A 16,151-nucleotide genomic window follows, 5' to 3' on the forward strand; every position below is an offset into this window, starting at 1 on the left:
TCAGTATTCATATATGTGGTTATATCCATATTTATATTTTAGTCAAAGGGTGCGATATTTTAAAACTTGGGTCTCATTAATTAGATGATAGGTGCCATTGCAGGCCCAGAGTTTAATGGAAAGGCAAAATTGAGTGGGAGGAGGGAAGAGACAAATGGGGAGAACAAAAGGGTACTTATAGTAGGGGTATAGTACAGTTGTTTTCCATGAGACTTATGTTCTGTGTACCCTACCCTAGTTATCTTTTCATTGTGGAAAAATAGGTAACATAAAACTAACCATTTTACCCTTTTTACGTGTATAATAAAGAAGCATTCATTACATTTATGTTGTTGTACAACCATTACCACTATTTCCAGAACTTTGTCATCATCCCAAACAGAAACTCTAAACCTATTAAGCAATAACTCCCCATACCCTTCTACCCCCAGCTTCCGGTAACCTCAATTCTACTTTTTGTCTCTAAAAATTTGCCTGTTGTTGATACTTCATATCAGTGGAATCATACAATATTTGTTCTTTTGTATCTATTTTGTTTTACTAAGTGAAATATTTACACATATTGTTATCTATGTTATGACATGTCAAAACTTCATTCCTTTATGACTAGTAGCTGGGATTACAGGCATGTGCCACCACGCCCGGCTAATTTTTGTATTTTTAGTAGAGATGGGGTTTCTCCATGTTGGTCAGGCTGGTCTCGAACTCCTGACCTCAGGTGATCCACCTGCCTCGGCCTCCCAAAGTGCTGGGATTACAGGCATGAACCACTGCACCCGGCCACTGGCCTCTTCTTAAGAGGGAACTAATCATATTCGTGAGGGCTCCACTCTTATGACCTAATTGCCCCTCAAAGGCGCTGCCTTTAAGGATAATCACGTTGAGGATTAGATTTCAGCATAAGGATTTTGGAGGGACACAAACATTCAATTCATAAGAATCATCAAATTTGAGCATGCATCAGACTTCATCACTTTTGCTTGATTCTCCATTAAAAATAGGATTGTATTGTGTACTTAAATATAGACATTGTAGATAATGGGAGATGTTGTACAAGCCAGGTGTAATTTATAAGATTGAAGATTATTCCAGGTTTTGAAAAATTATGAATGGTAGAGTTGATACTTTCTTTTTTAGTATTATTGTACCTAAGCAAATTCTACATAGTATTTTTCTGTTTTTAGTTTAGATTGACTAATTATTGTGACTGGAAATAAAGCTTAAAAATTATTCTAAACACGGTGAAACCCCGTCTCTACTAAAAATACAAAAAATTAGCCCGGCATGGTGGCGGGCGCCTGTTATCCCAGCTACTCGTGAGGCTGAGGCAGGAGAATGGCATGAACCTGGGAGGCGGAGCTTGCAGTGAGCCGAGATCGCGCCACTGCACTCCAGCCAGGGCGACAGAGCGAGACTCGTCTCCAAAAAAAAAAGAAAATTATTCTATATGTTTAAGTCCCAGAATTTTACTCGGTTTTGGAATACGATTTATTCTTATGTGATCTTTTATTCAATATGTATATACTATATTGTACAAAAACCAAACAAGTTTATACGTTTTATTCACAATTTATTGTAGTTCATTTTTAGGTCAAATTTTGGAGGGGCGGGGAAGGGCGGATACTCTGGTACCATAACAGAACCACAGTCAGAAATGTACTGTCCTAGTTAATCACTTTCATAATTGTTAATGCATGTTTAAAAATTCTAATACTAAAACACTAAACTTTTATACTTTTATTTCTTTTTAGAACCTTGTGAAACATCTTCCTGAGCAGAAGATACTCAACGAATTAGCAGAGCTTAAGAATGAATATGATGACCTCTGTGAGCCTGAACAATTTGGAGTTGTGGTATGTATCCAACATGAGGGACCACAAACTCAGCTGGGAGGTTAACACTTGCCAGAAACAGTGAAAAGACAAACATTTCAGTTGTCAATTATTTTTTCATTACTGTATTGCTACATAATTTAATATAATATTGGCTGTCAGAAAAAAATACTTTTTTACCTATTATTATTTGTCATGGCATTGAAAAATAATAAAATATTCGCATTCATAAAATACTTCAAAATATCTCAGGGGATCTTTTGAATAACAGTGCCAATTTTTAATTCTATTAATATATGCAAACAGTATACATTATTATTATATGGGCTATTTTTCTTTCCATTTAGATCTTAATGTTAGAATTTGGCCTCCAAAAAGTAGGTTAAAATAAAAGGATAATTACTAGATAATTAGCAAAGTACTAGAGACTCTTTTTCTAGGGTATATGTCGTGTCAGAAAAAGCAAAAGGATTTTCAGATTTCATATAGAGTGTCATTAATTGATTTAAAGCTTAAAATGTGCTGTTTTAGCTGGGAAGAAAATCTTATACATCATGTCTTTAAATCATCATGTAGTTAAATTATTATTGGAATGAATTATTTTTTCTTATTCCACCCTTCATATTAAGGGGTACAAAGGATGAATAAGTATAAATTTTGAATTCAAGATTATAGTTATATTTTAAGTATTCCCCAAACTGACTATTCAAATAGTTGACAAAAAACAAAAACAAAAAAATGGCAGGAAAGAGGGCATTATGATTTATTTAATTTCTTGGAGAAAAAGCTATTTTTTACTTAGGTGGTCAGTGCAAGTTTGTTTGCTGTATGAATAAATAGTTCCATTATGGTCACCAACTTTACCCTGGCTCCCTGAACATTTTCCATTTGCATACTAAAATTTTAAAATTACCATTGAACCTAATAGTCAAACATTTTCAGCGTTATCCAAAATATTCTATAAGCTTTTAAATAGTATAATATGTTAGAACTGATCCAATTTGATACCTTGCAGTTTAAAAATCCTGTTTAAAGTCAAACTGTGCTAGATGGGACTGAGCATGTTCCTTTTGAACATGTGCAATAAATGCTCACCCATATTTAGAGTTTATTAATTTTGAGACATGGCATTGACTGCACTTATATAGAAGGATTCTGTCAAATTCTTGCAAAGAAAATCAGGAATGTATGTTTGGGATCAGATAGAGCATATAATGGTATCTGAGAAAGGTATTTCTCTTATTTTTGAACAAGGTGAATTAATCAACTAAATTCGATAGATATCATTTGTTAACTAAAAGCAATTTAGCACAACATTGAGTAATACAGTTATTTAGATCAAAGTCCACACTTGAAGCCTAAGCTGCTTGGATTCATATTATAATTGAAGCAAGGGTATATACCCTCTGAGAATTCAGCTGTGTCATGATGGTTATGAGTTTTACAGTAGGTATACTACACAATTTCTCTGAAGCCATTTTTTTTTTTCTGAATGCAGTTTATCTTGGAAGATGTATTAGTTTGCCAAGCAAGTCCTTTCAAGAGGCATATCCTTGGTACCACACTGAGGAAATGAAGTTTGGGGACGTAAAAAGCAATATACCTTCTGAACTAAAAGCAAAATAGAAAATGGAAGAGATTTCTTGTTTATGCACATAACCATAAATAATTCTGAGGCTGTGCATACATGAAGTAACCTAGTCCCCGTATTTACTTTCACCATTCTTAGCTACATGTCTGGGGGTGGGGGGCGGAAAGTCAAGGACATTACAAACTAGTTTACACTATGTAAATTACCTAAGATAGTATCAATCAGGATTTGCCCAATAAAGTTTAGCTGCATTCACATCAAGGAAATATTTTTTAAACAATGATATACTTTAGTTTGTTAAACGTGTACTTTGCAGTGTTTAGAACAATATCATGTATTAAATAGACAGTAAATAAATGTTTATGGAATTGAATTACAGGACAATTATTAAGCCTAAGTCCGAGCCTGAAATTAGAAAGTAGTATGATTTAAATCTGTAACAATAGAAATTTTGCTAAAACATATTTCTCTAGGTGTATGCTGAAATTCAATTCACTTCTGTGTGTATACATCCAAACACTTTTTAACCCTTAAACATATATCAACAGCCTAATGTGAGGACAGTTTTGGAAATTGTTTAATAGAATCATCTGCAGTAATGAGAGAGGCTCCAAACTGGAAAGGCTCATTGCCTCTGCTCACTTCTCTTGTTAACATTATTAGTGTATTTATCACATGATTTCTATATGGAAAACCTCCGGTGTCTCCCTGAATTTACAGAATGAAGCTCCTTCGCATTCTCACTGTATCTCTGACTGTCTTGCTTTCTTCCTTTCTGCTCCCTTTGGTGAAGTGAGTCAATTGGTATCTTTTTGACATTTTAGCCTTTATTTCAATCAGACTCTCACTGCCGTTTTAACAGCTATTTCACTCGCTCCCTATTCTGCGTCCTTTCATTTTTCCATAGTGGCCATACCATACCTTTCCTTCTCTCCTCAAGTCTTCTGTCTCCTCCCCATTCTTTTAACTTACCACGAACATCCTAACCTGTTACTTGCCAGAGAAAAAAGAAAGCAGTTTGACTTCAAAACCTCCAATATTTCTTCTACCTACAAAGTTTTCTCTAGCTATATACCTTTTACTTATTCTCTGTCAAGCCTCAGAAAAAGAGGAGCTCCATTATCATTAACATTATTGTTGTTGCTATTAGTATGGATAGAAACAAAATAAATATTGAGGACTTAATTTGTCAGATTCTATGAGAAGCATGTTTACTTCCACCAACTTATGTATTCCTCATGACAAACCCTACGAGTTTGGCACTATTAATGGCTCCATATTAAGGATGAGGATGCCGGGCGCGTTGGCTCATGCCTGTAATCCCAGCACTTTGGGAAGCCGAGGCGGGAGGATCACCTGAGGTCAGGAGTTCCAGACCAGCCTGGCCAACATGGTGAAACTCCATCTCTACTAAAAATACAAAAATTAGCTGGGCATGGTGGCGCACGCCTGTAGTCCCAGCTACACAGGAGGCTGAGGCAGGAGAATCGCTTGAACCTGGGAGGTGGAGGCTGCAGTGAGCTGACATCAGGCCACTGCACTCCAGCCTGGGCCACAGAGCAAGACTCCGCCTCAAAAAAAAAGAAGGATGAGGAAACTGGGCCCAAGGAAGACTAGTTTACTTGTCCAAGGTTACATAGTAACTAGTAGTCACAGAATTCAAATGTTAGCAGTCTGAATTTGTAGCCAGTGCTTTAACCACTGTGCTCCTGGGTTGTGGGTATGTGGGTGTGTATGTGATGCTCTACCACATGCTAATCTTCTCACTTCAGTTTTGGGCATTGTTATGCACTGCCTACTTTAGGTGGTAGTATCTCTTGCCTGCTTTCCTTCTGTTAGTTATTTTATTACTTCCTCAATTTGTCAGTTTCCACTCTGCCCTGCTCTTCAGAAAAAAAGAAAATCTTCAGTCATTTGCTGCCTGGAAAGGAGTGGATAGATGGGTGGATGGATGAATAAAAATCCTTCCTGACTGAGGTTTCTGCTTGCTACTGCCTTCTCTCCATTTCCTAGCATCAGTTTTTTTCAAAGATCAGTCTCCTTTTTCTCTCTGCTTCCTTAACTCTCATTCACTGTTCAACCAATGGTGATCAGAATTCTGCCTTAAATAATGCATTGAAATTGAAATAAGAAAGGCCCTTAAATCCTGTTCACATCCAAAATACACATCAAATATACTCACTTCTCTGTCTCCATCACCACCACCTTAGCCCAAGCCAGAATCATCGTTTCAATTAACCATTACAATATACATTTATCTTGTTTTTCCCGCTACCACTTTTGCCCTTCTCCAAATCCGTCTCGGCACAACCCTTAGTAGGATGTTTCTAGAGTGTATCTGTATTGCATCATAATTTTTATCTGCTTAAAATACCAGTGCTGTTCTATAGCACTAAAGCTACAGCATTAACTTCTTACCATGACCTAGAAGATACTATCTGGTCTGGCACCTGCCCACCTCTCCTACTTTCATCACCTGCTATTTGGCCTCTTGCTCATTATGCCTCAGCCACATTTTATTTTTGAACTTACCATGTTCTTTCCTGCTTAGGACCATTGCACATGCTGCTCCTTTACTCCTGCTTGCTGCCTCCCTCTCTTGTTTATACTTCAAGTCATAGCTTAATTTTTGCTTTCCCAGTGGTACCTTCATTTGCCTTTCAGTCAGAAATAGATCTTCCTACTAAACTCTCCCAGATTACCTTTTTTCTTTTCCTTTCTAGAAATCATCCTGGATTTTAATTAAATGTTTATATATGAGGTTACTTCTTGACTGTCTATAATCCCAACTATATTGCAAGTTCTATAAATGGATGAACTATGTTGATTTTATTCACGTGTGCTTAACAAATATTTCTTGAATGCATTTGCATGAATGGAAAATCAAGTGGACTCTTTCAGTCCCATCTTATTCTGTATCTATATGGCATTTGATAACATAAAAGAATTTAAGCTCCTTTTTGAAACCTTTCCTCTCCTTCTTAAATAATAAATAGTATTTCCTGATTTTTTTTTTTTAAGAGCTGCCTCTTAAAGCTCTTAAAGAAAGTTCTCTCTGTGTCCCCCAGGGTGGAGTGCAGTGGCGAGATCATACCTCACTGCAGCCTCGAACTCCTAGGCTCTAGTGATCCTCCCACCTCAACCTCCTGAGTAGCAAGTTCCACCATGCCCGGCTAATTTTTTTAAAAATTTTTCTGTACACATGGAGTCCCACTGTTTTGCCCAGGTTGGTGTTGAACTCCTGGCCTCTAGCAATCCTCCTGCTTCAGCCTCCCAAAATACTGGGATTATAGGTGTGTGCCACCATACCTGGCCTTATTTCCTGATTTTAATACTCTAACCCTGTGTAGTGCCCTATAGAGTTTCCTTGATTATATAACTTCTTAGATGATAAAAACAAAATCTCATCAGTTAGGGGTGTAAATATGCCAGAAATTAGATTACTCTTGCAGTATTCATTAAAATAATGATAATGAATAATTAACAAATTGGCTGGTCATGGTGGCTCACGTCTGAATCCCAGCACTTTGGGAGGCCAATGCAGGCAGATCGCTTGAGCCCAGGAATTCGAGACCTGCCTGGCCAACATGGCAAAACCCCGTCTCTACAAAAAATACAAAAATTAGCCAAGCATGGTGCTGTGCTTGTCCAGCTACTTGGGAGGCTGAGGTGGGAGAATAGCTTGAGCTCGGGAGGCAGAGGTTACAGTGAGCCGAGATTGCACCACTGCACTCCAGCCTGGGCAACAGAACCAGAACCTGTCTCAGGAACAAAACCAACAACAAAAAAACACAATAAAATTGACAAAACTGGGGGAAATTGTGAAAGAAAGAAACTTATCTAAGGCAGTGACTGGGACACTAAGCTTTCTCTAACCTTTTGGGTTTTTTTAGCAGCCACATCATTAGGTTTGCTTATAATCATGTGCAACCAGTTGGAAAAAAGAGAAAAAAAAAGAAATAGAAAAACCCAGAGACTTTTCCTCTGTCTAGAGACAGATCCTGGTAAGGGGGACATGCTCGCTCCCACATATTGTATGATCAATAATCTTGTTTAGGGGGTAGATTGGCTGCATAGCTTCCCACTGACTTGTCCTCCAACCTACCTCCCACAGAATTGAATTTGGTACATCATTGTAATTATGTGCTGTACCTTTACTAGGGAAAAAAGCACAGATTTTTGAAAGCTCTGGCAGTTAGAACCCTCAGCAGGAGCTTTTAGACTCTTCTGAGTGTCTTTGCAGCTCAGCTGTTCTCAAACCTCAGAGCAATGGAAGTTCCCACTTGTCTTGCACAGGGGATGGAGACCCATACTGTGTGTATCTATTAAACTAACACATCTTCTGAGGAAAAGAAGGCAATAATTAATTCTCTTAGTAATCGTACTTTGTTTTTCTGACTTCAAAATTATCCATATTTTTCAATTAAAAACATCCTAAAGCTATAATCTAACAAAAAATGTTGAAATTGGCTTGGGCGTAGAAATCTTCATAATAGGAAGCACAGATGATGTGATATTGCGGACAGCACATTTAAATTTTTTTTACACAAATATATGAAGTTGGGAGGAGAGGATTTATGCATATAGTTGGAAGTACAACTATAAATTTACTGTGCTTTTTAATTTTTTTAAAGCCTCATAAGAGCTTATGAGCTATAAAGATAGCTTAACCAGGTGAAAAGAAAATTCTTAAAAGCTTTTTTTTTCCTTCCACATATCATCAAAGGCAATTAGTTTGGATAGAAAATTGTAAGTCCTCTGTTCCATTAATATCAAATCATTTTTCACTTTTGCATATTCAGTGTGAAAATTGCATTTTTCTTTATTTTATATGCCTGCATTTGGAGTATTAAGTGTTTTGATTTGTAATGCCCTGATTGTTTCTATTTTCATTACTTTTGTAAATATTAGTGCTAGTTCTTACTTCTAGATATATATTCATTTTATCTGAGGAAAAAGCTGGTTTAATAATTTTGAGATCAGGTAAAAGAAAACTCACCATGACTCATTCTCAAATACATGTATTTATATTCTTATCCCTCTTACTAACTTCTTATAATCATTTTTTTGTGACAGAATTTCTTATTTCCATCAGCTTTTGCAATAAAACAAGGTAAAATAAAACCACCTGAAAATTGAATATTCAAATTAGGTCAGTAGGTGTCAATTAATTTTGCTATTGATTGGTTTTCATTAAATTTTTTAAAAATCAAAAGTTAACCCTTTCATTTTTCCCCTCCACATATCACTAATTCCTAACACCACCATAGAAATTTTTATGGCTGTGTCCAGGCATGGTGGCTCATGCCTGTAATCCCAACACTTTGAGAGGCTGAGGCGGGTGGATCACGAGATCAGGAGTTCGAGACCAGCCTTACCAACATGGTGAAGCCCCGTCTCTACTAAAAATACAAAAATTAGCCAGGCATGGTGGCGGGTGCCTGTAATTCCAGTTACTCAGGAGGCTGAGGCAGGAGAATCGTTTGAACGTGAGAGGCGGAGGGTGCAGTGAGCCAAGATTGTGCCACTGCACTCCAACCTGGATGACAGAGCAAGACTCCATCTCAAAAAAAAAGAAATGTTGATGGCTGTTCTTGGCCTCAAACATGTTTTCAGAAAGGTGTTTTAAAATTCTTGCCTAACTTTTTAGTGTGATTCTTCTGAGTTTATAGTGCCTTTTGGGACACACAATGTTATTGTATTCTGTTCTAGACTAAAGACAAGTGAATGGTTGTTGATGGGTAGTTTCCACATATTTTTATCTTTGGGGAAATATTCTCTACCAGTACATCATTATTTTTCTTTTTTCTTTTTCTTTTTCTTTTTTTTCTGAGATGGAGTCTTGCTCTGTCTCGGCCTCCCAAAGTGCTGGGATTACAGGCGTGAGCCACTGCACCCAGCCTACATCATTATTTTTCTGATGTAGAATCAGTTTTCAACACTCAATTTTTTCAAGGCTTCAATTCACAGATTAAGTATGGCCCTTTTCTCTCATGACATCTAATGTACGAACATTTGGCATTGACTCCATATAGTTGGTACACTTGTATTGATTATTTTTTCCAGGCCTGGTACTGGATTTGCTACAGAAAGTATTAGAATGAGTATAAGTAGGAGAGGTTCTGCCCTGGAGGAGGTTGTTGTCTCAAAGAAGATAACAGTCTTTACTTTATAAGGTGTCATAAATGCCCCTGCCTTATTTCCACAACTCCAGGCAGAAATCTGGTCAGTATTGACTCAATCTCATTTCTGTAGGCAGTTCTGCCTTCTATTAAACTTAAGTCCATTCTCCTTTAATGTGGTTTCATGATCATTCTTTTTGTTATAGTCACAGATACAAAAGGATTCTGTATATTCAATGGGCAATGGATCAAAAGAGTAACTATTTGGAAAAAATACCTTGTAGCAAATATATATTTGTTACAAATTTTTCTGTTAATTCTAATGAATTCTTAACATTATATTTTGAAGAGACGGGGGGATCAGTTTTTCTCCCATATGTTAGGCCTTAATGGAATATGTCTTAGAAGTGAAAAGGAAAGATGATAGAAATAACCCTAAAGGCCACACCTGACCATAGGAGTGCCATGTGGCCATCTCCTTTTCCGTCACATATGATTTTTACATTTGTGCTCTTTTCCTTTCTCGGTGGATTCGTAGGTTAGTTGGGTAGTAGATCAATATTCATGAGCTGCGTAGGTACTGAAGTGTGTAAAATTCAAATTATATAAACAAAACTGTGTCTAACTCTTTGGGGAAATAACCCACTTGTAGTTGCTCTCACTAAAGCTGTCAATGCACTTCTTTTATTTTTTTTTAATATAGTGAAGATCAGCTAAAGAAATGAGAGCCACTTGATGTGATTTGATAGACAAGTACATCGTAACACAAATAAATCCCCTACATAATACAATACCCTGGTCAGCATCCCACAGCACTTCAAGGAATGAATTATAAAACAAAGGATGCCAGTCAACTAAAATGCTGCAAGGGACCACAACTAAATACAAACACAAATTTCAGCAGAGTTTTTATTTTATTTACTTATATCACTTAGGTGCACTCAAGTGCCTTTATGAGACATGAGCCTTTTAATAATTGTATCTGTGGCTGGGGATGTTGCTCAGTGCTTCCTACTATTTCTAAGCTTAGTTATCTAGGACATTTCCTTCCATATCCAAATCCTCTGATGGAGTTGCAACTGTTTCTATCAGTGTACACTGGTCTGATCGTAAAAATTCACACTTATGGTTGCAAAAATTCTGTGGTTATGATCAATATGTACTGGTTTGTGGCTTTTGTTAAGAGATGCACATGTATAGCTTGCCTCCTACATCATCTCTTGATTTTGTAATAATACAATTTTAATAATGACATTTCTAATAGTAGATGTATATTATGAATTAAAAATAGCTAAATAAAGCATGATATTTACAGTGGATAATGAGAGCTGTTCTTCACTGAGCCCTGGAAATATATTTCTTAATTTTGAATGAGAGAAATTTTACGTTGGGTTTGGGGGAAAAGATAAGGACCCCGGTTTCTTCATACTGACAATTTCTGAAGATGAATAAAGAATGTAATAACAACAAGAACTATTGTTTTAGGGTGTTTACATCATGTCAGTTACTATGACAGGAGTGATACACATAGTATCACATTTAAGTTCTAATGCATCGTGTATAGATGATTTAATGAATACATTTTCATGATGAGGAAGTAACTTAGAAACTCCAGGTAACTTGCAGTAGGTCATACAACTAGAAAGTGAGGCCCAGTGAGGTCACTTACATCTGAAATCCCAGCACTTTGGAAGGCCCAGGTGGGCAGATCGCTTGAGCCCCAGGAGTTCAAGACCAGCCTGGGCAACATGGCACAACCCCATCTCTGCAAAAAAATACAAAACTTAGCCAGGCATGGTGACATGTGCCTGTAGTCCTGGCTACTCGGGAGGCTGAGGTGGGAAGATCGCCTGAGCCCCGGGAAGTCAAGGTTGCAGTGAGCTGTGATCACCCTACAGCACTCCAGCTTGGGCAACAGAGTGAGACCCTGTCTCTAAAAAGTAAAGTGACAGAAGTGTGGCTCAAACCTATGTCTGTGTAACTACAGTGTCGCTGTTTCTCCTACTGCAGCTTACAGTATGGGTCTGGAGAATGCAGATAATTGTTTCCCCCTCTTTCCTGGGTTTAGAGAAAAAAATTCTCCTAAATCCTATTCTTTAAGAAAAAGCTGTATGGGGCTCTGAATTTGGGCTAAGATTGGGCCTTGGCGGTATTGTTGGGGTGACCTACCTGGAAGCTAATGAATGACCTTACATGTACTTCCTCTTTCCCCACATCAGCCTGCTGTTATACCTCTTGAAACTATATGTCCTCTTCTTGACCCAGCATTTTACTGAATATTATGTTTCCTATTTATATGAATGAAGCCATTCATTCATTTTACGATGGTTTATTTTCAAAATCACTTTTCATCTTTATCATCTGCCATGTATCAAACCTTGTTGTAGGAGATGAATCAATGAAGAATTTTTGCCAGATCAAAGGGCAACTTTGAACCCCTTACAGTATACAACTTCTTCTGAAAAGCAGGCTGACTCATGATAGATTAATATCTAGTAATACTGGTTCAACAAAGTTAATTCCCTAACATTTCTGGTTTGACATTATAACTGAAGACATTATTTTGTAGAAGTAAAATATTACTGTCAGCTATTAATTTTGTTGAATAGACAATTGTCCTACTTGGGAAAAGATCTGGAAAATAGTCAGCTAAGGAGTGCTTTAAAAATCAATCAGCACATATTGATATACTCAAGACTCTGTGCTAGGTGCTCCACAAGATGCAGCTTTTGACTCCTTTCTCCTTTTTTTTCTCTATGCAGTCTCTGTATCAATGACCTTACCTCCCATAGCATCTATTCAGATAACTCCCAAATCTGCCAACTCCAATACTTCTAACCCCTAGAACTATAGTTTCAAATCCTAGCAGATATCATAATAATAACAAAAACTCAACATGTCAATAAAGCAATTTTATTATTTCCCTATCATGGAGGTATCATTTTATTATTTTTTAGAGGATTTGAGAGGGATCAAGGAGAACATTTAGTCTATGTTAGTAATCCAAGCTTGAAGTACATAAAATTATGAGTTTCTATATGGTGAGCATGGAAAATAAGGGACGACTCTCAGAAATTCTGCAGGTTAAAATATTGGTAAGGATTGGTATTATTATAAATAACATTGTGTTTACTGTGACTTGAATATCACTTCAAGATTTGGGGTCTTGAATGGGAAAATAAGAGCATCATTGTTAGAAGTAAGATGCCCTATTTGCCGGGTGCAGTGGCTCATGCCTGTAATCCCAGCACTTTGGGAGGCTGAGGCGGGTGGATCACAAGGTCAGGAGATCGAGACCATCTTGGCTAACACGGTGAAACCCCGTCTCTACTAAAAATATAAAAAATTAGCCGGGCATGGTGGCGGCTGCCTGTAGTCCCAGCTACTCGGGAGGCTGAGGCAGGAAAATGGCGTGAAGCCAGGAGACAGAGGTTGCAGTGAGCCAGGATTGTGCCACTGCACTGTAGCCTGGGCGACAGAACGAGACTCCGTCTCAAAAAAAACAAACAAAAAAAAAAAGATGCCCTATTTGATGTCTGAGAAGATGGTCAGCTGAATTTACTTAAATGCTAATACAAATTTTTCGTAGCAGCCAAGCAATACTTTTCCTTTATGGAACTAGTGCTTTTTACTCTACCTTCCCACAGCTGTAGAGGCAGAGCCTAAAAAAGAAGAAAGTAAACGTATGGATCATTTATTTTGACTCCCTTCTTTTCATCAAAACAAGACCGCTTTACAGGAATTTCTCCCACTTTACGATGGGGAAACTAAGACCAGAAAATTAGGCAGACTGTTTTCACACAGTCAGCTCACATGACAGTTTCTAAATTCAGTCTCATTTGACTTAGTTGCTGCTAAGCTACACCTACCTGCCCCTGCTGCCTTAGTCCCTGATTGGCTTACTGGAATTTAAGTAGCAGCAGGTCAGGGAAAGCAAATCCATCTACTCTCATTCTCTGAAACAAGCAAACAACCAGGTGACAAACTGTACCAAATTAGCACATCCTTCTACCTTCATTATTGCCGGCAGACTTCAAACTTTGGAGCCATCTTTGACTTTCTCCTGCTATAACTGGTCGGTTACTAAGTCCCATTTATTCTTCCTTAATTCTATCTTTTATATCCATTGTTTTCTTTATCTTCCTACTGTCAACATGCTACCTCATTACCTGTTTCTTACACCATTTTGCTAACTTCCTGATGGTCTCCCTGCCATTAATCTCTCCTTCAACCAATCATACTTACTGCTCCTAATAAGACTCAAGAGGCAGTGTGGGGTAGCGGTTGAGAGTCTGGGGTCTGTAGCCCAAAGGCCTGCATTCAAATCTTCAGGTTTCCAACATAAAATTTGATTTTGTGCAAGTTACTTACTATTTGTTTCACTTTTCTCATCTTTGGAATGAAAATAACGATAACCGTTTCCTAGGATTGTTTTGAGAATCAAATCAGTTAATATATAAAGCAAATGTTGAAAAATGTCTGGCACAAAGTACTTAATAAGTGTTAATTGCTGTTAGCATTGTTACCATCATTATCAAAGCATACTTTGGTTATGTAATTTCAATTGGAGCTGATATTTTTATAAAAATATCAAATCCATGTTCTCTGAGTTTGTAGGCCAAACATTGTAGGTTAATACAAAACATGGAAAGGATAAGAATATGATTGCAGGCACATGATATTGGGACCAAAGAAGACTAAAAGCCCACATATGCCTAAGGGTTTTGTTCCTTGTCCATCTGGGACCAAGGGCACCCTGGTGAACATGGCCCCTATAAGCTCTGCAAAGTATGGCCAGGAGAGCAAGTGCATGGTCACTAGTAGCTGCTCAAAGTAGCTCTATAGCTTTTTTAGTCATCAGGGAGACTAAAAAACTACTCCCTAAACGTAAAATGATAGAAAACCTGCTTCAGTGCTAGTGATGGCCAGTTACCAGTAAAAGGAAAGGAAAAATAAAGTGGGGAGGGATTTGGAGACAGAGGTAGAGGCAGAAATGAAGGCAGAAAAATATATAGAGAAACTCAGAGTGATTCCCACACAAACATACACAAAGAGACCTGCAAATTCACGGAGACATAGACTTTGATGCGATTAGCTTCCACTTCTGCGGCCTTTACCTGGACTCTTTAGATACATTGTTTCCAATTCTACCCCTAGGTATGTATGTCATATATACCTAGCCTATAAACCTTTTCTCACACCATTCTCTCTCTCTTTACTTTTCTCACACCATTCTCTCTCTTTACTCCCTCCTTCCTTCCTTCTTTCCCTTTCTTTCTTTTTTTTTTTTTTTTTTTTTTTTTTTTTTGAGACAGGGTCTCACTCTGTCGCCCAGGCTGGAGTGCAGTGGCACAATCTCGGCTCACTGCAACCTCCGCCTACCAGGCTCAAGCGATTCTCCTGCCTCAGCCTCCTGGGTAGCTGGGATTACAGGCACTGTGCCACCACCACCATGCTAATTTTTGTATTTTTAGTAGAGACAGGGTTTCGCCACGTTGGCCAGGCTGGTCTCAAACTCCTGACCTCAAGTGATCCTCCTGCCTCTGCCTCCCAAAGTGCTAGGTTTACAGGCCTCAGCCACCGCGCCCGGCCACTTTTTCCTTTTAGTGTCAGTTCTATGTGTGCTTAAATTTACACATGCATGCACACACCTATACATATATTTTTTCATGTGTATTTCCTCTACTGTGAAGCCTTCATTAATCACTGTAATCATAAGAGTTTAAAGTTTTTTCTTCTTCCAGTGAACACCTCCAGAACTTAATTTCTTTTTACCTATCTAAAATCATGTGCTGGCTTTTTCACCAGCAATAGTTTTCAAGGTTCTATGTTGAGTTTCAGACTATATTGTAAGCTTTTTGTGAATAGGTGGCGTGTTTTATAGTTGCCATGTGAGTACTGAAGAAATAGCAGTACAATTTGTATAATAATACCCTGACCAGATAAAAAAAAGTGAGTCATAAGTGATGAGACCTACAAAAATACAGTAACAGGTAGATATTTCATCATACTTTTGTATATCTGCCTGTGAAAAGCATGAAAGCATATAGGAGGATTAGTAGAAGGCAGAGGTTCATATTTGGAGAGGCAGATGTTCATGGTTAATGGGCAAATTCGAAGAAGAAAAATAATGGGCTATGTCTTGATTCTGTATTAGAGTAGATATGGTCTGCCCAACAGCTCATCTGCTGCTTTTGAAAGGTACTTTGTGGTTTAAAAACTTTTGTTTATGTCGTCAAATTCTCTTCATGTTATCTGCAGATATGTTGGTGTCTAATCTGTACTTGGCATTTGTATTTAAGGAAGTAGGCTATATATACAAAACCAAATATAATTAGGAATGTTAATAATTTATTTTCACTGTGTGCATGTGTCTGTGTGCGTTCATGTGTGTCTACCTCTCCCCGACCTCCCTCCCAGAATTCATTTTGTGAAGGAAAACTAGTTGAGTAACTTGGAGCTATAGGAAATTAAAAACTAAAACAATTATTATCATAGTAACTATACCAAGTGGAATATTTAATGTGCACCAGTGCTATGAAACAAGTAATTAAAACCAAAGTTGAACTGTATTGAAGAAAACCAATGTAGAATTCTTGCATAATG

At 37.6% G+C, this 16,151-nt stretch overlaps 1 protein-coding gene across 2 annotated transcripts in view; it reads left to right on the forward strand.

Moving 5' to 3' along the window:
- Positions 1 to 16,151, forward strand: part of DIAPH2 (diaphanous related formin 2) — a 920,156-nt gene that overhangs the window by 413,101 nt on the left and 490,904 nt on the right. For both annotated transcript variants that reach the window (NM_006729.5, NM_007309.4), the window contains exon 20: positions 1,752 to 1,853. In NM_006729.5, coding sequence (NP_006720.1) covers positions 1,752 to 1,853 — 102 coding nt within the window. The remainder of the gene's footprint in view (positions 1 to 1,751; positions 1,854 to 16,151) is intronic.

This window comes from Homo sapiens, chromosome X (genome assembly GCF_000001405.40).
Source record: "Homo sapiens chromosome X, GRCh38.p14 Primary Assembly".
Lineage (NCBI taxonomy): Eukaryota > Metazoa > Chordata > Mammalia > Primates > Hominidae > Homo > Homo sapiens.